The sequence below is a fragment of the Homo sapiens genome, chromosome 8, assembly GCF_000001405.40.
Source record: "Homo sapiens chromosome 8, GRCh38.p14 Primary Assembly".
Taxonomy (NCBI): domain Eukaryota; kingdom Metazoa; phylum Chordata; class Mammalia; order Primates; family Hominidae; genus Homo; species Homo sapiens.
The window spans coordinates 98,897,324-98,920,362 of NC_000008.11; the positions used below are offsets into that span (position 1 = coordinate 98,897,324).

General features: G+C 41.5%; 1 protein-coding gene and 2 pseudogenes across 8 annotated transcripts in view, besides 2 other annotated features; all 3 read right to left on the minus strand.

Annotated features, from left to right (window-relative positions):
* STK3 (serine/threonine kinase 3) overlaps nt 1-23,039 on the minus strand; it is a 598,636-nt gene that overhangs the window by 553,349 nt on the left and 22,248 nt on the right. The gene's annotated exons all lie outside the window — the stretch shown is intronic.
* On the minus strand, nt 6,877-8,413 carry LOC643494 (RNA binding motif protein 4B pseudogene; annotated as a pseudogene).
* MRPL57P7 (mitochondrial ribosomal protein L57 pseudogene 7) lies at nt 8,932-9,204 on the minus strand (annotated as a pseudogene).
* Nucleotides 14,550-15,051: an enhancer, noted in NCBI's record as "H3K27ac hESC enhancer chr8:99924101-99924602 (GRCh37/hg19 assembly coordinates)". NCBI's record gives its function as "activates a minimal SCP1, AML or CMV promoter by ChIP-STARR-seq in naive H9 embryonic stem cells {active_cell/tissue: H9 hESC(naive)}" and the evidence as "EXISTENCE:reporter gene assay evidence [ECO:0000049][PMID:30033119]".
* Nucleotides 15,052-15,551: an enhancer, noted in NCBI's record as "H3K27ac hESC enhancer chr8:99924603-99925102 (GRCh37/hg19 assembly coordinates)". NCBI's record gives its function as "activates a minimal SCP1, AML or CMV promoter by ChIP-STARR-seq in naive H9 embryonic stem cells {active_cell/tissue: H9 hESC(naive)}" and the evidence as "EXISTENCE:reporter gene assay evidence [ECO:0000049][PMID:30033119]".

Sequence of the window (23,039 nt, forward strand, 5' to 3'; positions counted from 1 at the left end):
GAGGCGGGCGGATCACGAGGTCAGGAGATCAAGACCATCCTGGTTAACACGGTGAAACCCTGTCTCTACTAAAAATACAAAAAAAAATTAACCGGGCGTGGTCACGGCGGACGCCTGTAGTCCCAGCTACTCCGGAGGCTGAGGCAGGAGAATGGCGTGAACTCGGGAGGCTGAGGCAGGAGAATGGCGTGAACCCGGGAGGCGGAGCTTGCAGTGAGCCGAGATCGTGCCACTGGACTCCATCCTGGGTGACAGAGCAAGACTCCGTCTCAAAAACAAACAAACAAACAAAAAAAAAGTCTTTTTATCCTCTGCAGTAAATACAGCCCTTATTCCATCATTTTATGGATTCACATTGGCACTTAATTATAAAAGAGTCTGATGTGTGTGATTCCTTAGTTCAATTATAAATGACTGGAGGCTAAGGCCTGTATTTTCTCTTCTTTCCCCTGGATTTTTGGCTAAGCTGTAGCCTCTTAGCAGGTATTAAATAAATACATACATAATGAATAAATGTTGACAACTATTAATTTGTGTCTTCTAAAGCATACTGATATGATCACCACACCATATCAAAACACGAGACAGCCCCTTACAGCTTGAATAACTACTTTAGGAATCAAGAAATCAGAGCTCTTCTGCCCCAGGAGCACTGCTAACTAGTCATGTGGTCCTTTTATCTTCTGGGCCTCGGTTTTCCTCACCTGTAAGAAGGAACTTGATTATATTATTTCTGAGGGTCAATATTAGGGATGTTCTTCAGGTTTGCTAGGAGAAGAAGCACTCAGATTACCAGGTTGCCTGTGGGAGTGGAGTTCATCCTCCATGTCCCTAGCTGTATTCTGAGTTCCTGGACTTCCCAGTCATGGCCTGATGCCGGACCTTATGGAGAACTGGCACAACATTTCCTGCCATGGAGTGTGACTACCCTTCTCTGTGTGAAAGCATCATCAGTTTATTCCTGTCAAACAGACTCTGTCGGTCGGGTAGAGTTTCACAACAAACTCTGTTGAGGCTTTTAACCTCCTGCATACCTGGCTTCCCATGATTGTCTTTGCCTAGGACACCCTGGTCTAATCAGCTAGGGCCAAAACAATAGGGTCAGTTTCACTCAGGGAATAGTCAAGCCACTTTATGTAGGGAATAACTGATTTGGGTCATCATTCTCAGAAAAGGGGGCTGTAGGTGTGGCATAACCTACAGCTCCATAAACTCTTTTCTCTCTCTTTCTAAAATGTTTTATGAGAATTAACCAAATACTGACAATCAATATAAAGAGCATTAAGAAATGTGCAGCATGAATGAAAGATTACATTATTCACTTAGCAGTAATTTAATCTTTCTGCACAGTAGAAACGCATACAGAAAGACCTAGAGAAGAGGCTAACTCACAAATGGCAGGAAACCAACTCCCCAAAAGACTTTTTGGGATCCAGAGATCTTAAACATAATGTAGTGTTCCTCCAGTATTTAAAACGAAAGAAATATTTTTAAGAGTACACAGGGAGTAAAAGTGTTTTATAACCTTCTGACATGTAGCTAATTCAAACACAGCCTGCCTGGTACGTGCTCGGCCACAGCCAGTAACAAAATCTCCAGCCTGTGGACCAATCCCCAGTCCCCTCTCCTAGGATCCAGACACAAGTGTGCTTTCCAGAATGGGTTGGAGTGTGCTAGCCCACACATCTCACTTAAGCAGAGAAATCAGGGGCTGACCCTTGAGTCCAAGGCCTTTGGCAATGGATACACTTTTATAAATAGAAAGAAACAAAATATGGCACTATGTTTTCAACTATCATTTCAAAAGCAGATTTAAGAATGTCAGGATCATTACTGTTACACCCAGAAGATAGCACAGAAGATGCCACAGGATCACCCAGGCAGCATTTCATGGGGAAAGGAGCCTAGACTTGGCTTTCATACAGCCCTAGGATTGAATTCCTATTTTGCCTTCCCCAGTTTGCAAAATTTTTTGCAAAGTGCTTAATATTAATAGTAGTTACCATTCATCAAGCACAGTAGGCCCTCCTTATCCATGGGTTCCACATATCTGGATTCAACCAACCTCAGATCAAAAATATCTGGAAAAAAATTGTATCTATACTGAATATGCACAGACTTTTTTTCTTGTTGTGATTTCCTAAACAATACATTATATTAATAACAATGATTTATATAGCATTTATAGTGTATTGGGTATTACAAGTAATCTAGAGATGATTTAAAGTATGGGAAGATATGCATAGGTTAAATGCAAATATGACACCATTTTGTATCAGGGACTTGAGCATCCTTGCATTTTAGTATCCATGGGGAGTCCTGGGACCAATTTCCCATGGGTGCTGGGGGATAACTGTACTTTATTCTGTGCCAAGGGCATGATATGCATAATGATATTTACTCTTTACAAGAACCCTGGGAGGTAAAAATTATTGGGTCTCTGAGATAGTAACCTTCCCATAGCCAGTTAACGTGTAGGAGGGAAGCCAAGATTCAAAGCCAGGTCTGAAGCTCCTTACTGCCTTTCCTATTCATCCTCTCTGAGACTTCATTTCCTCATTTATAGAATAGCTATAATAACACCTCCCTTAGAAAACTGTAGGGAGATTTCCATTTTGTTTTATTGTAAACATGCCTGGAACATAGTGATTGCTTAATAACTGTTGGCTAGTAATATAAATGTATACATGAAATACTGAAGTCACAAAAGGGCCTGCTGGCCACAGACTGGTTTCCTTGATTTCCAGTCTGCTATTTATTTATTTATTTTTGAGACAGGGTCTCCCTCTGTCGCCCAGGCTGGAGTGCAGTGGTGCGATCTTGGCTCACTGCACCCTCCACCTCCCAAGTTCAAGTGATTCTCCTGCCTCAGCCTCCCGAGTAGCAGAGATTACAGGCGCCCGCCACTACACCCGGCTAATTTTTGTTTTTTTAGTAGAGACAGGGTTTCACCATGTTGGCCAGCCAGGCTGGTCTCAAACTCCTGACCTCAAGTGATCTGCCTGCCTCGGCTTCCCAAAGTGCTGAGATTACAGGCGTGAGCCACCATGCCCAGCCTTCAGTCTGCTTTTTAAAAACATTTTTTTAAGAAGTCTAATTGAACATTACCACAAGCACAAAATGTAGAATTATATGAAATCGCCCCACATCCAATCACACATATATAGTTTCCCCTCCCCAGCTTTAGTGAGGTATAAGTGACAAAAATTGTATATATTTACAGTATACAACTTGATATTTTGATATATGTATACATTACACATAGTTTTTTGTATATTTTCTTCTGCTGTTTTCCCACGTGTCTTTTTTTAAAGATTGTTATAGTTTTATATTCTTTTTTTCTTTTTTTTTTTTCTGAGACAGGGTCTTGCTCTGTCACCCAGGCTGGAGTGCAGTGGTGCAATCTTAGCTCACTGCAACCTCCCCCCACTGGGTTCAAGTGATTCTCCTGCCTCAGCCTCCCAAGTAGCTGGGATTACAGGTGCACGCCATGACACCAAGCTAATTTTTGTATTTTTAGTAGAGACAGGATTTCAGCATGTTGGCCAAGCTAGTCTCGAACTCCTGGCCTCAAGTGATCCGCCTGCCTCGGCTTCCTAAAGTGCTGGGATAACAGGCATGAGCCACTGCACCCGGCCTATAGTTTTATATTATATTTTTTCACTTAGCATTATCATAAATATGAATATCATAAATAATATGAATACTATGCTACATCCTATTTATGCTTAGCATCTTTAATCACAAAATCAGTGAACCATTCTGGAATATTTTTTTCTCCTTTGGATGAGTTTGGGCCCTGTGTGAGAGAAATCTAGAATAGAATCCTCAGCTCCACCACTTATCACCACATGACTTTAGGAAAGTTCTTAACTCTCTAAGCCTCTGTTTACTTACTTGTAAAATAGGGATAATGATTCCTACATCAGAGGATTATTGTGAAGATTAAGTGAGGTAACACTTGTAAAGCCCCTATGCTTTTACTATTCACAATAAGCTTTTATTAACTCTAGCTATTCTTAACTAGAGGCTTCTCCTTCCCCCATCCAAACAGCATTACTTCACATTTTCTGTTAATCAATGGCTTTAGAGAAATATGCTTAGAGATTACATTGGTTTAAGAGAGGGAGAGGTGAAAGGGGAGAGAAAAAGAAAGCCTGGGAGCGGGAAGGCTCTGCTAGGCTCTCTGACTGCACACCACACCTGCCTTAGACCTTTTCTTGCAACTCTTGCAACTGCAGGAGCAGCAGGGGTTCCCAGGCTGAAATTCCATTCTCAGGTAGCTCACAGGGCAGATCTGGTCACTGCTGGGATGTGTGGGCTGTGCCCACCTGCTCCCTCAGGCAGCCTCATTCCACACTGGCTCCCTTGGGATGACCGAAGCCTCTGTGGCCTGGGATAGAGGCAGCTGGGGAGGTCAGGGCAGCTTTCTGTGTTCCGTGAGAGCTTCTCAGTTGTCTGAAATCCTCAGCCTTCAAAGTAGAGCTGATCCCTACCCAGAAATGTGAAACTGCTGTGAGTCAAATAAATCATTAATAGGCAAGCTGGGAAAGAATGGGCAGTAAAGAAGACAAAGGGTCAATCCTAACCCTCCTCAGAAGGACGGACTTCACATGTGCCCTCTACTTCCTTACTCCATTGCCTGCAACACACAAGATGCTTTTTGCTGCCCAGGAAGTCTCCAGAAACATTCCACACAATTGAGCACTCCCTGGTTCTGGAAACACTCTATTCTCTTGGCTGCCATGATGTCATCCTCTCCCGCGCTTTCTTCTGCTTTTCTGGATGTTCCATCTCTCCCTCCTTCGTCTGCCATTTCTCCTCTACTTGACCTCTAAATGTCAGAGCTCCTTACGGGATGGCTTTAAGTTCTGTCCTCTTTATGAACTTTCCATCTCCCTAGATGACCTCATCCATTTCCATGATTTGAAATATCTAATTCTAAATTTTTATCTCCAGCTCAGACTTTTCTGAGCTCTAGACCTATTTGTCCAATACCATGGATACACACATCTCCACTTAAATGTCTCTAAGATCTTTTGTAACTTAACATTTCTGAAACTCTTGATCTTAACACCCCAATACACATTCCCCCAAAGTGTCCCTTCATTCAGTGCTACTCTCCTAGTAAATCTCAGCGATTCCTATCTGCTCAGTAGTTCAAGCATACCTGAGACCTAGAAGTCATCTTTGATTCATCCTCTTCCCTCACCACGCCCATCCAGTTGATCACAAATCTCTCTCAATTCCTCCTCTACAATATTTCTTGTGTCTTCCCACTGTCACCGTCCTGGCCCAAGCCTTCTCTTCTGATAGCTAGCTAGCTAATCACCCTGAGCCCTCCATATGGAAACCAGGGATCATTTAAAAACATAGTAAATGGGGTCATGTCACTATCCTACACAAAAATACTTCAATGGCTTCCCATTGCACTTAATAATAGCCAATGTGTCAGGCACTTTGCAGAGATTATCATGCATTACACAGGTGCATTATCTTAGTCTTCACAACCCTGTGATTACCATCCTATTTTACAGATAAGGAAACTGAGGACTGGAGAAATTAATTTGCCCAAATTGACAACTAGAACAGTGTAGAGTTAAGATTTGAACTCAGTCAGTCTGACTCCAAAACCCAAGCCTCTCAATCACCACTGTCCTGCCTTTCACTTAAGACAAAACCCAAATTCCCTAACATAACCTAAAAGACTCTGGCTTCTACCGCCTCTTTAGCACCATCTCCTTCTGCATCTCCATCTTTCAGTGTGTTCTAGCCATGCGGGTCTCCTTTCAGTGACTCTAATACCCTAAGGGGCCATGAAAATTATGTTTACTACAATTTCATTATAGCACAGGGAAATGGCTAGGATATGACATTGAATGCACTAAATGAAAACACATAATTGCTTATATCATATATGCCTGAATATGAGCAACTTTGACTATTATACAGTCCCAAGTTATCCTGATGAAAATATTAAAACAATTGAGTTTTTATGGGCAGGTGATAGAAAACTTGAATAAACTTTTAGCAATGGGGATGATTTTTTTTTCTAATGAATCCCAGAAGAGAATGCTCTTTTTAGTAGTCAAATCCCAGAAGAAAATGCTATTTTTTAGTATGTTTAACTGAAAAAGCTTATATTTCCACTTCAATTTAGGAAGTTCTTCTTCTTCTTCTTCTTCTTCTTCTTCTTCTTCTTCTTCTTCTTCTTCTTCTTCTTCTTCTTCTTCCTTTTTTTTTTTTTAAGTGGGGCCTTGCTCTGTCACTCAGGCTGGAGTGCAGTGACACAATAGCAGCCCAACTGCTGGGTTCAAGTGATCCTCTAGCCTCAGCCTTCCAAACACTGCATTACAGATGTGAACCACTGTGCCTGGCCTTAGGCAATTATTTTTGACAGAAGGTATGGAAACTAATGTTGCATTATAAAGTCCTCATCAAATATCTCATACTTAAGCAAAGACCCCAAATCATAGTTTGTAGATTTACTGCAGCTTTCATTCAAAATACGTTTTTTATCATCTGTCACACAGGAAAACCCTGATACCTGATATCTTCCTATCAGCCTAAAGAAATAAGAAACACAATAGGACAGTGATTATACTTTTAAATATTAGGGAGTTTAGAGCCCCAGATATTCTATATGCAGACCACTATGCTCATGTTTATGTCTTTTTTTTCTTAAGTGTTAGAAATGTTTATTTGTCAAAAAATTATTTAAAAATGGGAGGAGTGGAGTAAAACAAGGCTAAATTTCAGCTAATGCTGTACCACGATCACAGGTCAGATATAAAAAAACAAACAACACAACCCCCAATGGTCCTAGCAATTTCAGAAGATTAACTTCAATGTTAGAGTCCAGAACTAACAGAGAAGAGTAAAAGGCTGCTTGCCACTACATGGTCATTTGAAAGAGAAAGGAGATGCTGCAGGTAGGCAGGGAGAAGTATTCAACTCCTAGGGAAAGCAAGATAAGAGGGGTTCCACTGCACAGGAAAAAGGGGATGCCAGCATAATCCTTACCTAGGGCTGTTCAGAGGCTGAGAATATAAGGAACAGAGTAAAAAAGGCTACAGAGACTAGTATCAGGAGGAAAGAAAAGTCAACTTAGAAGAATTAAATTAAGAAAGAAAACATAGTTGGTCACAAACTCCTTTTGTTTACTGAAACGTGAAGCAATGGAAACATCCTGGCAAAGGGGACCGCACGGAGCAAGTTCTCATATATGCCCGCAGCCCGAGGGTTCAGTCAGCAATTATTCTACCTCCAGTTTTTAAAAGGCTGAGTACCAGGCTCGGTCCATATAGTGCTCCCGTTCATACCGGGCCATGTCGTGTAGAGAATTCCGTGTAGCTGCTGAAGCCTGAAATAACTCACTCTCTGGCCCATAACCGTAGCCCTCTCCAACTGTGGGGAGCATGGCTGCAGCATGACGCGGTTCCACAATAGGAGGAAGTGGTGGCCGGAGCGGCAGCCATAGTAGCTGAAGTGGCAGCAGCACAAGAACTTGGCAATAGGTATCTGTCTTAGGGATTAGCAGAAGTAGAGTTGAGGTGGCTGGTCACAGTTGTACTTTGGACTTGAGGCAGATGGGACATGGTCTGCTCTGCCTAGTTACATGCAGAAGCTGCTGCCGCTGCTGCTACTGCCTCGTAAGAGCAGACCCAGTATCGCTTATAGTAGTGGAGTGCTGCATATGCATCGTTGTAATACCTGGATTCCCCATAGCCCATGGTGTAAGGCGTGTGAACTGCTGCATATTGTTCATTACACTGCTCAGTAAAGTCTGCCACACGACCCGTACGATCTACTGGGCACTCTTTGGACCAGTGACCTTCTTTCTTACACTGATAGCAGCCACACTGGTCTCCCATTCCAGGGGCAGTCCGAAGTCGGGCTTGTGGACAACTACACATGCATTATCTTGCCTTGAAACTCTGTGTTGTCAAGGCCCCTGACGGTCTCACTGCGTCCTCTGACCACTCCATGTGTATGAAGTGTATGAGGACATAATCTTTCACGATGTCACATTCAATGACTGGACCATACTTCTCAAACTTGGCTTGAAGCTCTTGGTTGGTACAAGTGGGACTGATGTTACCCACGTGTAACTTGGTTGACGCTTTGCTCTTATTCTTGCTGGCTTCCACGTTGATGTTCACCCCATGAAGCTTGTAATGATGCAAGTTGTGTATGGTATCCTCAGCCGCCGTCTTGTCTTCTATGTGTACAAAGCCGTAGTTCTTAATGATGTCACATTCCAGCACCTTCCCTACTGCTTGAAAAGAGAGCGGATCTCCTGCTCTGTGGCCTCCTGGGGCAGGTTTCTGATGAACAGCTTCATCATCCGGACAAGCACCTCTGGGTGGCAGCGGCGGAGGTAGCTCCTGCGTCAGAGAGAACCCTACAAAATCGTTTGTCTTGATAAAAGAAAAACTTCAGCCGAATTAAATTTAAAAGAGTTTAATTGAGCAACGAACGATTCACAAATTCGGAGCCAGAGTAGGATCAGAGAATCCAGCGCAGCCACATGGTAGAAGGAGATTTATGGACAGAAAAAGGAAAGTGATGTGCAGAAAACGGAAGTGAGGTACAGAAACAGCCAGATTGGTTACAGCTCAGCTTTTGCCTTATTTGAACACAGTTCAAAGAGTTGGCTACATGTGATTGGTCAAAACTCAGAGATTGGCACACGTGTGGGCTACGGTCTGTTTACACCTCCACTTGTTATAGTTCATTATGCACGGAGAAACCTAGGCCAAAATTAAAATATGTAAGGAGGCAGCTTTAGGCTAAACTTGATTTAACAATCTTAATAAGATCCCTGTCCAAAGGCTCACATTTCTATAGAAGCTACAGTTTTTCAATTCCAAGGATAGGTAAAAACAGGGCAGCACCATGATCTATAAAATCTAGAGTTATGGCTCAGAGTTAGGGCCGTTTCTTGGTGACATTGTGATGGTTTAGCTGGTCTACAACAAATCTATGAGGGCAGAACTTGGAAGTGTTGACTGCCTTCACGGCATGGAAGGCCTCAGCCCTGTGCACCACAGCGTGGTTGTGCTCCTGCCCCGTGGTCAGATAGGACACGCTTGTTCAGTAGTAGTTCTCATGGTCTGCAGCGCGGCCGCCAGTGCTTCCAGATCCACTGCCTTCCAGGAATGCCACAGCAACAGAGGAGGGCAGTCAGGAACTTGGAGCCTGGGGCTGCACTCATCAGACAGCCAAGTCGTTTTGGCCACTGATGCAAAGATGAAATGTTTAACTATCTTCTTACAATATTTAACTTGGTAATTTAGTTTAAAATGCATATACAAAATTGCAAGTATTAAAAAATGTTATTTTTAAAAATTGCCTTTTCCCACTCACACATTTCATGAAAACATTTTATTCAAACTTTTTAAAGGCATGTTTCATGTCAGTGTCTTCCATCACCTCTAAAGAGATGTTCTCTACCAATTTTCCTGACCACCTCATCTTCACTTCTATCCAAACTATTTGCCACATAGTACTTTTTTCTTAAAAACAAAAAAATTATTACAGGCTGGGTGTGGAGGCTCACGCCTGTAATCCCAGCATTTTGGGAGACTAAGGAGGGAGGATCTGTTGAGACCAGGAGTTCGAGACCAGCCTGAGCAACATAGGGATAACCCCATCTCTACCAATAAAAAAAAAAAAAAAAAAATTAGCCAGGCATGGTGGTATGCACCTGTAGTCCCAGCTACTCCAGAGGCTGAGGTGAGATAATTGCTTGAGCCCAGGATTTGGAGGCTCCAGTGAGCCATGATTGTGCCACTGCACTCCAGCCTGGGCGACAGAGCAAGATTCTGTCTCAAAAGCAACCAAAAAACAAAATTTATTACAGAAAATTTCAAACACAAATAGAAGTATATAGAAATCTCAAAAAAGGCCGGGTGCGGTGGCTTATGGCTGTAATCCCAGCACTTTGGGAGGCTGAGGCTGGCGGGTCACAAGTTCAGGAGATCGAGACCATCCTAGCTAACATGGTGAAACCCCGTCTTTACTAAAAATACAAAAAAATTAGCCAGGCGTGGTGGCACCACCTGTAGTCCCAGCTACTCGGGAGGCTAAGGCAGGAGAATCCCTTGAACCTGGGAGGCAGAAGTTACAGTGAGCCGAGATTGTGCCACTGCACTCCAGCCTGGGCGACAGGGAGAGACTCCATCTCAAAACAAACAAACAAACAAAAAAATAACCTCAACAACTATCAACTCATGGCCAATGTTTCGTTCATAATCCTCCATGCCCTCCTTCCTGAATTGTTTTTAAGCAAATCCCAGATATCTTATCATTTCACCCAAAAATATTTCAATATGTATCCCGAAGAGAAAGCTCTTTTTGAGAAATATAACTGCAATCACATTATAGTACCTAAAAATTAATAATGCCTTCACATCATTAAACATGTAGCAAGTGTTCAGATTTCCCCAATTGTGTCATAAAGTTGTTTAAATTAGGATCCAGACTAGGTCCATAACTTGCATTTAGTTGATATGTTTTTTAATTATCTTTTAATCTATGGGTGTCCTCCTTCCTCTGGCTCTTTTTTCCTTGCATGCAATTCATTTGTTGATCCGCCCTTTAGAGTTTCCCATACCTGGAATTTTGCTGACTGCATTCCTGTGGTGTCTTGTATCATGTTCCTCTACTCCCCTTTATCTCCTGGGAAATAGTAGGTGGCTCTGGAGACTTTATCACATTCACATTCTATTTATTGGCAAGAATATTTCTTAGCACTTTCATCAAGAGGCTAATTGGTTGGTTGTTTTTCTTTTTGTGTTATTATAGCCATTAATCATCACTACCTAGATTCACTATTTCAGAAAGGGTGCAAAATGGTGATACTCTGATTCTATCATTTCTTCTTCATTTATTAGCTAGAATACTTCTCTAAGGAAAAATGTTCTCTTATCAACTTTTGATTATCCTAAGGTGCAGTCTTCAGGAAAGGCAAGATAAATGTGTGATTCCTTCTTTTTATTAGTTTTCAGAATAATGGGTTGGTTTCCTAACATCCATCAAGAGTGACCTAATGTCTAGGTATTACTTAGTTTTCTTTTTGGGTGGGCATGATGGCTCATGCCTGTAATCCCAAAACTTTGGGAGGCCAAAGTGGGAGGATCACTTGAGCTCAGGAGTTTGAGGCTCCAGTGAGCTATCATTACACCATTGCACTCCATCCTGGGCAACAGACCAAGACCTTGTCTCAAAGCAAAAATGGCTGGGCGTGGTGGTTCACGCCTGTAGTCCCAGCACTTTGGGAGGCCGGGGCGGGCGGATCACCTGAGGTCAGTTCAAGACCAGACTGGCCAACATGGTGAAACCCTGTCTCTACTAAAAACACAAAAATTAGCCAGGCGTGGTGGCAGGCACCTGTAATCCCAGCTACTCAGGAGGTTGAGGCAGGAGAACCCCTTGAACCCGGGAGGCGGAGGTTGCAGTGAGCCGAGATAACACCATTGCATTCCAGCCTGGGGGACAAGAGAGAGACTTCTTCTCAAAAAAAAAAAAAAAAAAAAAGAAAAACAAGGCTGGGAGAGGTGGCTCATGTCTGTAATCCCAGCACTTTGGGAGGCCGAAGTGGGCAGATCACTTGAGGTCAGGAGTTCAAGACCAGCCTGGCCAAGATGGTGAAACCCTGTCTCTACTAAAAATACAAGAATTAGCCAAGCATGGTGGTGCGTGCCTGTAATCGCAGCTATTCAGGTCAGGTGGCTGAGGCAGGAGAATTGCTTGAACCCAGGAAATGGATGCTGCAGTGAGCTGAGATCACGCCACTGCACTCTAGCCTGGGCAACAGAGTGAGACTCTGTCTCAAACAAAAACAAAAACAAAAACTTAATTTTGTTTTATCTTATTTGTGATATACTACTTTTTATTTTATACAGGCTCCTGGCCGTGGAATTTTTATTATAAGCTACAACCAACCAGTTATAAACTATCAGGATAGTTGACCTTTTTTTCAGTAGATAATCATATTTTATCGACAGATGTTGAATTTTTGAGATAGAATTCACATACCACGCAACTCACAAACGTAAAGTGTACAATCCAATGTTTTTTAGTATATTCACAGATATATGTAACCATCACCACAATCAGCTTTAAAACATTTTCATCACTTCAAAAAGAAATCTCCGTAATCTTTAACTACCACCTCCTTATCTACCCATCCCCTCCCCCAGGCCCAAGTAACCTATGATCTAATTTCTGATCTGTAGAGTTCCCTCTTCTGGACTTTCATACAAATTGAATCATATATTATGTGGTCCTTTGTGACTGGCTTCTTTCACTTGGCATGATATGTTCAAGGGTTATCCATGTTGCAGCGTGTATCAGTACTTCATTTCTTTCTACAGCCAAATAATATTCCACTGTATAAATATACAACATCTTGTTTATCCATTCATCAGTTGATAAATGTTTGGGTTGTTTCCAGCTTTTGGCTATTATGAATATAGTTGCTATAAACATTCATGTTCATATTTCTATGTGGACATATGTTTTCATTTTGCTTGGGCATATACCTGGAGTAGAATATGGTAATACTATGTTTAATCATTTGAGGAACTGCCAGACTTTTTTTCAAAGCAGCTGTACCATTTTACATTCCCACTAGCAGTGTATGAGAATTGTGATTTCTCCACATCCTCACCAATATTCATGGTTATCTGACTTTTTGTTTCCAGCCAACCTAGTGGGTATGAAGTAGTATCTTATTGTAGTTTTGATTTGTCCTTCTGTGACTTATAATGCTAAGCATCTCTTCATGTGTTTATTGGTCTCTTGTACAGCTTTCTTGGAGAAATGTCTATTCAGATCCTTTTCCCATTTTTAATTGGATAATTTGTCTTTTTTATTGAGTTGTAGGATAGATAATTTTTCTCATTTGCCACATAGGTATGTATTAATATAACCACTTATACTTTTTAAAGTAATTTTTTTAAACTTACTTTGAAAATGTAACCAGGACTTAAAGTTGTGTAGTAATAACCTCAGGATTAATTATTGACTCCATATTAAGTTTTTTAGTAACTTTTAAATATTCCAGCAGATGAGCTCAATAAACGTGAAGAACTAACATTGGCTGAAGTTTTTTTCAAACTAACATGTCTTCCCTAAACAATAAGTTGTTATTCAAAACAAAATATTGAGAAGGAAACTTCTATAGTGTGATCAACTTTGTAAGGACTTGAACATATGGTGACTCTTTTCTGAGGAATATTTTTACGAAAATCCTGTCTTTTATTGGATATATGTGGTACATTACAGAATTTACAACTGTGTTTTAAAATAAAGCCCATGTAGCCCGCATTATTGGATGACATTAGTCCCTGTGCATTACTGCTGGGTTGTGGGAGATTGCAGTGTTAAATGACATCACACAGGAAGTGTTTAACACAGTCTACGACCTGCCTGTGAGAATATCCTTCTTCAACTTAGACTCCAGAGGAAATGAGTCTTTCCACTGAAAGGTGTTAAACATGTCCCTCCCACGGTTACAGTGCTCAAGAGAAAACTGACTGGGCAGAGAGATTATAGCCCCAGGGAGAGCATAGGTGAATAGCCCACTCCAGCCAGCTTAGTGGTCAGCCATCGCACTTAGCAAGGGAAACAGAGCTGACACATCACATGGCTTCTGGTGAGGTCCATATATAGCAAGGCAACAGGCCACAAGCAGTTTTGTGGACTGCTGGAAGAAACACATGCTGGAAAAAGGTTACCACTAGTTCTTTGTGAGGAAGAACTAGGGTCTGGAGTCAGATGTCACTGTTCATTTTTTGTAGTTTGTTGCATGTAATCTTGTAAGCAAACTCTAGTTCTTTTCACAATGAGCGGATTGGTCGTTCTCAACAAATTATTGTCTTCCTCAAGTTCTAAATTTAAAAAGCTCTTTATGTATAGATAAATTAGGTAGACCACAACTAATTGTTAAGTCAAGATTCTGTTTTTGCCATGATCAATAATACATCAGCAGCCTCCCTTACAAAATTACTAATGCAGCCACAAGGATGTATTACTCATATAAATATTGTATTGTATTTATTTATTTATTTATTTATTTTGGAGAGAGGGTCTTGCTCTGTTACCCAGGCTATAGTGCAGTGGCATGATATTGGCTCACTGCAACCTCTGACCCCAGATTCAAGTGATTCTTGTGCCTCAGCCTCGCAAGTAGCTGGGTATTACAGGCACACGCCACCATGCCTGGCTAATTTTTGTATTTTTAGTAGAGACGGGGTTTCATCGTGTTGGCCAGGCTGGTCTCGAACTCTTGGCCTCAAGTGATCTGCCCGCCTCGGCCTCCCAAAGTGCTGGGATTAGCATGAGCCACCATGTCCACCCCAGAAAATATTCTTAATGGAAATACACCAAAACAATCGTGTTAGTATATTTTGAATGGGGGCCTTATAATAAGAGTATTTATCCTACTTTTTTTCTATTTTTCTAATTGTACATAATGGGAATTTTTTAAAAAATGAAAACTAATAAAATAAAAAATAAAGCTTATTCCTAAATGATTCAAATTTGTTAGTTTCTATAGTAGTGCTTTCCACCCTTGAAATATTGACCAAAATAGATTACTTCCAGTCCAAATAATTAGGTTATAGAAAAACATTAAGAATTTGTCTATACAACATTATATGTGTTGAGGTTTTACAGAACTAAGCCCTTTTTCCTCACCTGAGTTTAAGACCAACTGAGAGATAGACACAAGAGTCAGACAGTTGAAGATCAGAACTTTATCTTGGGCCGGGCACCGTGGCTCATACCTGTAATTCCAGAACTTTAGGAGGCAGAGGCAGGTGGATCACATGAGGTCAGGAATTCAAGATGAGCCTGATCAACATGGCAAAACCTCGTCTCTACTAAAAATACAAAAATTAGCCCGATGTGGTGGCGCACGCCTGTAATCCTAGCTACTTGGAGGCTGAGGCAGGAGAATTGCTTGATCCCGGGAGGAGGAGGTGGCAGTGAGCAAAGATCGCGCCACTGCACTCCAGCCTGGGTGACAGAGTGAGACTGCATCTCAACAACAACAACAACAACAATAACAAACGAAAAAAAAAAAACTTTATCTTGATCGCTGGTAAAGCTGGATTGGAGAACATGGTTTTAAATCTGTGACTTACATTTTGCCCCAAATTAAACGTGTCTGCTTGGTCACAGGAAGAGTTGGAAAGCCACAGGCTCTCTTCATAGGGATGGAACGTGCCCCACTAACAACACTATGCAGAGAACAGACTAAAAAACATACTCTCTGCAGGCAGCCAGGCTAACAGGGAAGTGGAGTCCAAGAGGCTGAGTCATGCATGCCCAGTTCTTATGCCCAAACACCAGAGGTAGCGGGGGTAAAGAGAGACCAGGGATGTTACTTTAAGAAAAGAAGTCTTCCATTCAGAACTATAAGACCAAGGGAAATGAATAATCCTAACCCACCTGAAGCAATAATAAATGGTAAAAACTCCAGCCAGGTAACCAGGGCCATGTGATCCTAAGAAATAGTTTTGAGTGGTTGTGTTTTTTTTGTTTTTTGTTTTTTTGACAAAGTCTCACTGGTTGTGGTTTATTTGTTTGTTTGAGACAGGGTCTCACTCTGTCCCCCAGGCTGGAGTGCAGTGGCATGATCTTGCCTCATGCAGCCTCCACCTCCTGGGTTCAAGCAATTCTTGTGCCTCAGCCTCCCAAATATCTGGGATTACAGGCGTGAGCCACTACACACAGCCCATTTTGGCTATTTTTGAAACTAAATTGATTTTAAAAATTAGGGGTTCACATAAATGGCAAAAAAAAAAAATCATTAAGCAGAGGAACCTGTTGTATTTTGAAAAACAAATAAGAGCTTTCTTTTTTAAAAATGTGCAATAATATTTTCACTTGATTTATGCTTCTTTCAAATTCCACAAATTAAAAATGACTTGCAAATTAAAACAAAAATTAGAAAAACATTGTCATGTCTAACAGAATTCTCTCTCCCTTCTCTAAACACTACTTAGCCAGAAACAGAGAAATAAAAACTTCTATAAAAGAGGGTAGAGAAGCTGTTGTTTGTTCTTTAAAAGTTAATTCAGTGTGCAAAGCTGGTAAGGAAAGCCCATCCTCTTAGCTGGAGTTGCATAATCTTCAAAGAAGAGTCCCTGGAGAGTCATAACCAGAAATGTTGGTTCAACACACACACTTGCTGTGCAAGACTCCTGGCCTTCATCCAGACTCCTTGGGACAAGGTGTCCACATGCACCTGAATGCCGCCAAGGAGATGCCAGGTAAGAAGATTTTCACATAGGTATTTCAGTGTACAAACCTGTTGCACCACATGTGCCCACTCAGGTATTAAACTGAATCCCTTTCCACACTGCAATGTGACTGAACCTGAGGAAAATAATCTTCCACACCAGGCACAAATGAATATTTCTGCTTAGGAGCAACCAGAAGTCCAGGAGTGAGAACAGAGTTCTCCAAGGCAATTGCCTCTGGCAGCCACAGGCTGAGATACCTGGGGTCTGTCTTTACTGAGAGACCTTGAAACCCTTAAGCCTCTTTTGGCCTCTATTTTCTCATCGCAAAAACACGGAGGCTGGATTTATCAGGTGGGAACTGCTTTAAGATTCTATGATACTTTAGTTTGTTTCTATCCAAACATTCTCATGGTAATCCAATAAATTAAGGTGAAATTTATTGCAGTGATTGATTATTCAGTTAAAGCCAATTCAAAAAAAAAAACAAAAACCCGAGTTTATCACTATGCAATATGTCCATGTAACACATCTGCACTTGTACTCCCTAAATCTATAAAGATAAAAAATATATTAAAAAAACAAAAACCAGCCAGGTGCGGTGGCTCACACCTGTAACCTCAACACTTTGGGAGGTGAGGCAGGCAGATCCCTTGAGGAGTTTGAGACCAGCCTAGGCAACATGGCAATACCTCATCTCTACAAAAAATACAAAAATAGAGGCTAAGGTGGGAGGATCGCTCACTCGAGCCTAGGAGGTTGAGGCTGCTGTGAGTTGTGATTGTGCCATTGCCTTCCAGCTTGGGCAACAGAGCAAGACCCTGTCTTAAAACAAAAAAATGAAAAAACCTGTAAGCTACACTTGTGTGCAAGCACATGCCTACACACACACACACACACACACACACACACACTCTCTCTCTCTCTCTCTTCACTCTTAAAATACGGGGCTTGAAATTATTTCAGTTGTTTGTTCACACAGGCCCAAATTGCTCAACACTGGGTTTCATGTTGCCGCTATTGACATGTTAATTGTACTGGATTGTTTTCTGTCCTCTCAACTGTCCTCATCTCTCTTTAAGCAGAATGGATTTCTAAACATGGGTCCTCAAAACAGGATGGTGGAGCCAGCCCCACATGCTTGGGGGCATGTAAGAGCTAAACGTGCTGATATGCTGAATATGTGCCTGAAAGATGGATGTGACACAAGGACAATAAACAGTGGTTGATTGAAGGAAAAATTCCTGAAAAATTGAAGGCAAATACATCTTTCACTAAACAGAATCAAATTTTATGTGTTGTAGGACAAGTATCCAGGACTACATTTTAAAAATGTAAATGTAAAAAGAACACTGGATTTAGGTCCAAATTCATTTCTGCTACTTACTGTGCAACTTTGGGCAAGATCCTTAAGCACTGTCTCTGAGCTTTGGTTTCTTCTCTAAAAGTGTAGATTAGACACCCACCTCAAAGGAAAGGGTGGTTGTGATGGTTAATACTAAGTGTTAACTTGATTGGATTGAAAGATACAAAGTATTGATCCTGGGTGTGTCTGTGAGAGTGTTGCCAAAGGAGATAAACATTTGAGTCAGTGGGCTGGGAAAGGCAGACCCACCCTTAATCTGGGTGGACACAATCTAATCAGCTGCCAGCACCACTAGAACATAAAAAGAGAGACTGGCCTAACCTCCCGGACTATATCTTTCTCCCATGCTGGATGCTTCCTGCCCTCGAACATCGGACTCCAAGTTCTTCAGTTTTGGGACTTGGACTGGCTCTCCTTGCTCCTCAGCCTGCAGACGGCTTACTGTGGGACCTTGTGATCATGTGAGTTAATACTTAATAAACTTTCCTATATATATATATATATATATATATATATATATATATAGTTCTGTCCTCTAAAGAACCCTAATACAATGGTTTTGAAGATTGAATAGGAAACTATAAAAGTGCCTGGTATAGTACTTAATATACACAAAAGTTTTTATTTGGATATTAAAATAATTATTTTATCATTTGAGAAATCTTTTTGAAATGCAAATAATAATTAATGCTGATTGATTGATATGTGTGTGTGTGTGTTTGTGTGTGCGTGTGATTTTTAAAATGGAGTCTTATAAAAATTTTCTCCAGATAAGACGTGTTCATCATTCTGTCACACAGGGCACCCACCACTCAGAGAAAATATCCATCCTCCGCCCCTCCACACACATCAAGTTCTTATCCAAAAGAAGTTTCTCCCTTCCTTTTTATGCCAACATGGTTAGCTCATATTTCCTTTACTAGTGACCAATATCATTTTACCTATCTATTTTAGGATAGCTTTTCCAGAAACTATGAAAGGCAGAAGAAAATTCCTCCTGTTTCAAAGACCTACAAAGCAGTAGCAGATTCACCAACTTCTGCTGCAGATGCTACAAGAAGCCTTTATTCACTGTCTCAAATGCATTTTTTTTTCCTGCTTTGGCATAACCCTGCAAAAGCTAAGGAGAGCAAGTGTCCTCAAAAGAAAGGGAGTGTTAAAACCCCGTTTAAAAAAATACGAAAACTGGCCCGTCGTGGTGGCTCACGCCTGTAATCCCAGAAATTTGGGAGACCGAGGCGAGTGGATCACTTGAGGTCAGGAGTTCGAGACCAGCCTAGCCAACATGGTGAAACCCGTCTCTACTAAAAATACAAAAATTAGCTGGGTGTGGTGGCAGGCACCTGTAATCCCAGCTACTTGGGAGGCTGAGACAGGAGAATAGCTTGAACCCAGGACGCGGAGGTTGCAGTGAGCTGAGATCACGCCACTGCACTCTAGCCTGGGTGACAGAGCAAGACACCACCTCAAAACAAGCAAGCAAACAAACAAACAAACAAAAAACCACTTCAGCTTCTAGCGTAGTGCTGGACATGCAGTGAAGGATGCCAAAAAGTTTAAGAAGGAAAATGGAACAAGCACTGTGTCTACAGTCTTCACAACTGAGACTTAGTTTCTCTTCCTGCAGTGTAAATATAATTGCCCTCCCTGTCTCCACTGGTTATTGAGAGGACCACATGACCATGAGTAGCAGCAATACATTACCTAAGTTATTATTATTATTGTTATTCATCATGCATTCAACAAATACTGAGATCACTGTTCTAGGCTCTGGGGATATAGCATTAAATCATCAGACTAAGATGTCTGCCCCTCGTGCAGCTTCCTAAGTAATTGTAAGATATTTTTAGTTTGGGAATAGTTCTAAGTAGAAAATAAACAGAGCAAAGTAATTAAAAACAAAACAAAACAAAACAATAAACAGGGTGGAGATGGGAGTGGTTCTAGGTTAGTCAGTCCTTTTTGATGGGGATTTGGGAGCTGAGTCCTGAGCAATGGGAAAGAGCCAATCATGAACAGATGTGGAGGAGGAGCATCTGTTCTGGGAAGAGCATCTGCACTTCTTCATGCAGGTTCTGAGTTGGGCATGAGATTGACATGTCAATGGACTAGAAAGACAGCCCATGTTCTTGGAGCACAATGAGCAAGGGAGAGGGACAGAGGATGAAGTCAGAAAACAGACGGAAACCAGTGCATCTAGGTCATGGTAAGGATTATTCCAGAAATCTGCTGAAATGCAGATGTTCCTGTTTAATTGCCTTGACACACAATAGGCACTTAACAAATATTTATATTCATTGATTTCCTACAGACATAATGTCTTAGATAAATATGTGATCTAACAGTCATCTAATTGACCAGGGCTCTGAGCAAATGGCAGATGTACCAGCATAGCCTTTTTAAAGAGGACAGTAATGCAGGCTGCATTCCAGGGAGCAGAATCCAGAGGTGGGCTTCTCATCTGTAATGGATTGAACGTTTGTGACCCCCAAAAATTCATATCTTTAAATCCTAACCCCCAATTTGATGATGGTATTTGGAGGTTAGCCTTGGTCACGAGGATGGACCGCTTAAGAACGGGATTAGTACACTTTTAAAAGAAACCTCAGAGAGCTCATTTGCACTATTTGTCATTTGAGGACATGGGAAGGACCAGAAAGAGGCCCTCATCAGACACCGGATCTGGCAGCTCCTTCATCTCGAATAGCCCAGCCTCTAGAACCGTGAGAAAATAAATTTCTGTTGTTCATAAGCTATCCAGTCTATGGTATTCTGTTATAACAACCCAAACAAGCTAAGACATCATCCATCTTGGAAGAAACCGCTCCTATTTCACTGTAAATTGCAGATTCCACCAACACCCTGCCAAACACCAAGAACTGAGCTCAAGGTTAGTGTCATGTCTTCTGGGTGCCAAGACTTCGAAGCCATCTCTGGGGAGTGTGGGAGGGAAAAAACCAACAGCTCAAGACCCATTCTCTACTCCTTTCTAGCAATGCAACTTTGAGCAAGTGAATTACCTAGTAACAATAAAGGTAAGTGTTCATGTAGTGCTTTCTATAGGGCAGACATTGTTCTAAAGACCTTGTATGTATTATCTCATTCAGTCTTTAAGAAGGGATAATAATAGTGCCTACTTCATAGGCTGAGATGTGAATTGCAAATCAATCAATGTTTGTTCCCTCCCCCTTTTTCTGTGAAGACTAAAATGTCTGCCTTCAAAAGCACTAGAAGAGATAACGTGTATGAATTGCTTGCTCGATAGTGGGTGCCCAACATATTATAGCTATAATAATAATGATGTTATCAAGTCTCCCTCTGTGAAGCCCTAGTTTAGCTGGGGGGTCAAAGCCCTGCTGAATGACTTGCAAAAGTCAGGTATTTGGGGTATATCTTGCTGCTAACTTATCCTAGAGACTGATTAAGAGCCTGGAGCATAATCAATGCTTAACAAATATTCTTTCCTCTCTGCTGAGATCCAGAACTACCTGAAAAGGTAGCTCAGAGAATACAACTTAGTATTTATTAACTGTAGAAAAGAAGATCGGGTGTGGTGGCTTATCCCTGTAATCCCAGCACTTTGGGAGGCCTAGGCAGGAGGACCGCTTGAGCCTAGAAGTTTGAGACCAGCCTGAGCAACATAGCAAGACCCCGACTCTACAAAAAATAAAAAATTAGCTGTGGTGGTGGCATGAACCTGTGGTCTCAGCTACTCAGAAGGCTGAGGCAAGAGGATCGTTTGAGCCTAGGAGGTCAAGGCTACAGTGAGTCATTGATTGCACCACTACACTCTAGCCTGGGTGACAGAGTGAGACCCTGTCTCAAAAAGACAAAAACAAAAACAAAACTTTAAAAAAGAAAATCTAAACCTTTGTTTAAGGTGTTACTCTCCAATGTTCAAATTCATGCCTCAGCAGAGAATTTGACAATCAGAACATGAAGAGGGGTCCTGGCACCTCTGTCAGCCACATCAGGACCGGCCTGAGAGTAAGAGGCAATAACAGTGTCATGGCCAAGCAGAAGAAAGGGTTAGGGGAGCTGGCTAAGGGAGATGGGCTCAAAACAGTGAGAATGACACCTTGTAATAAGGCAAAGAAGTAGAGAGTGTTCATAAGCCAAGATTTCGCAAGCAAGATCTGCCTGTGTAACAGTTTATGAACCCTATATTCTGCCATACATACTGTACCATATCCAACAGGCCCCAGGGGATAAGAGTTGAGGGACCCCTCATATGCCTCCCTTACCACAGCCTGCCACAAGATCTCATCTTAGAAGAGGGACATTTTGAGGCTAATGTCTCTATCTCCAAAGACCTCTGTGAAATGCCAAGGTCTGACTTGAGAGAGGTAATACATCTGTCCATTCACCTACCCACAAATCAGTGTGTTGTCTTAGTAGATAAGCCAGCTCTCATGTTAGGAAACTAAGAGTAGAGTTCAGAGATAGGACACAAATCAGAAAAACCGCTGTCAGTTCTAAAACAGGCCAAAAAATAACAATAAATCTGAGGTTTAAAAAAAAATCAGAACAATGGTTGCCTAGGGGGGATTGACTGAGAAGGTACAAGAAGGAATCAGGGGAGGGGGAAATTCTATGTTGTGATAGGGAGTAAGTTACATGGGTGATGTATCCATTTGTCAAACTTGGACCGCTAAGAGCCCAAGAACTGAATATTTCAATGTACGTAAATTTTACCTTAAACAACTCTTAAGAAAAATAATAATGCAATGGAAGAGTGGAGGAATAGATAATATAGAGATGGCAGAATGAGATGGGTACATGAGTGTTCATTATACTATTGGATTTACTTTGTATATGTTTAGAATTTTCCATGATAAAAAAGCTAAGAAAAGTCTTAGGAGCAGCAGCAGGTAGGACTGGGGACCAGGAAGGGGCTCTGTGGGATGAGGACCGACACAGTCAAAGGACTGCATGGGGAATACACAAAAATGTTGGGGGGAGGGAGGAAGGAGCCTTTTGTCCCCTGCACATTTCTTGTCAAATTTAATCCCACGTGTTATATATGCTTTTGCCTTATGAATCCAATCTTTTTCCATTTCATTTTCTAACTGCATAAAAGAAAGCTAATATTTTCATGTGTTTGCACAGGCCACTGTATTAATAGTTACAAGCTTCCTAAGAGGAGGGCAACTAGAAGGTTACAACGTGGTTTAAATGTGTCCCAGGCCAGCCCTGCTCATACCAAGTGAGAGAACTTCAGAGGAGAGGGACCCACAAACCTAAACTGAAATTGCTTAAGAAACTTCCATATGTAGATTGTTGTATTCCCAGAAATGATTCTCATCACACAAAAAAATTGGAGGTTGGGGTAGGTTAGTGAATAGTCTTCATGTGTAGATAGATTTCTCCACCAGGGGATAGAGCTGACAGAACGAGGCCTGCAAACTCATGGAAAT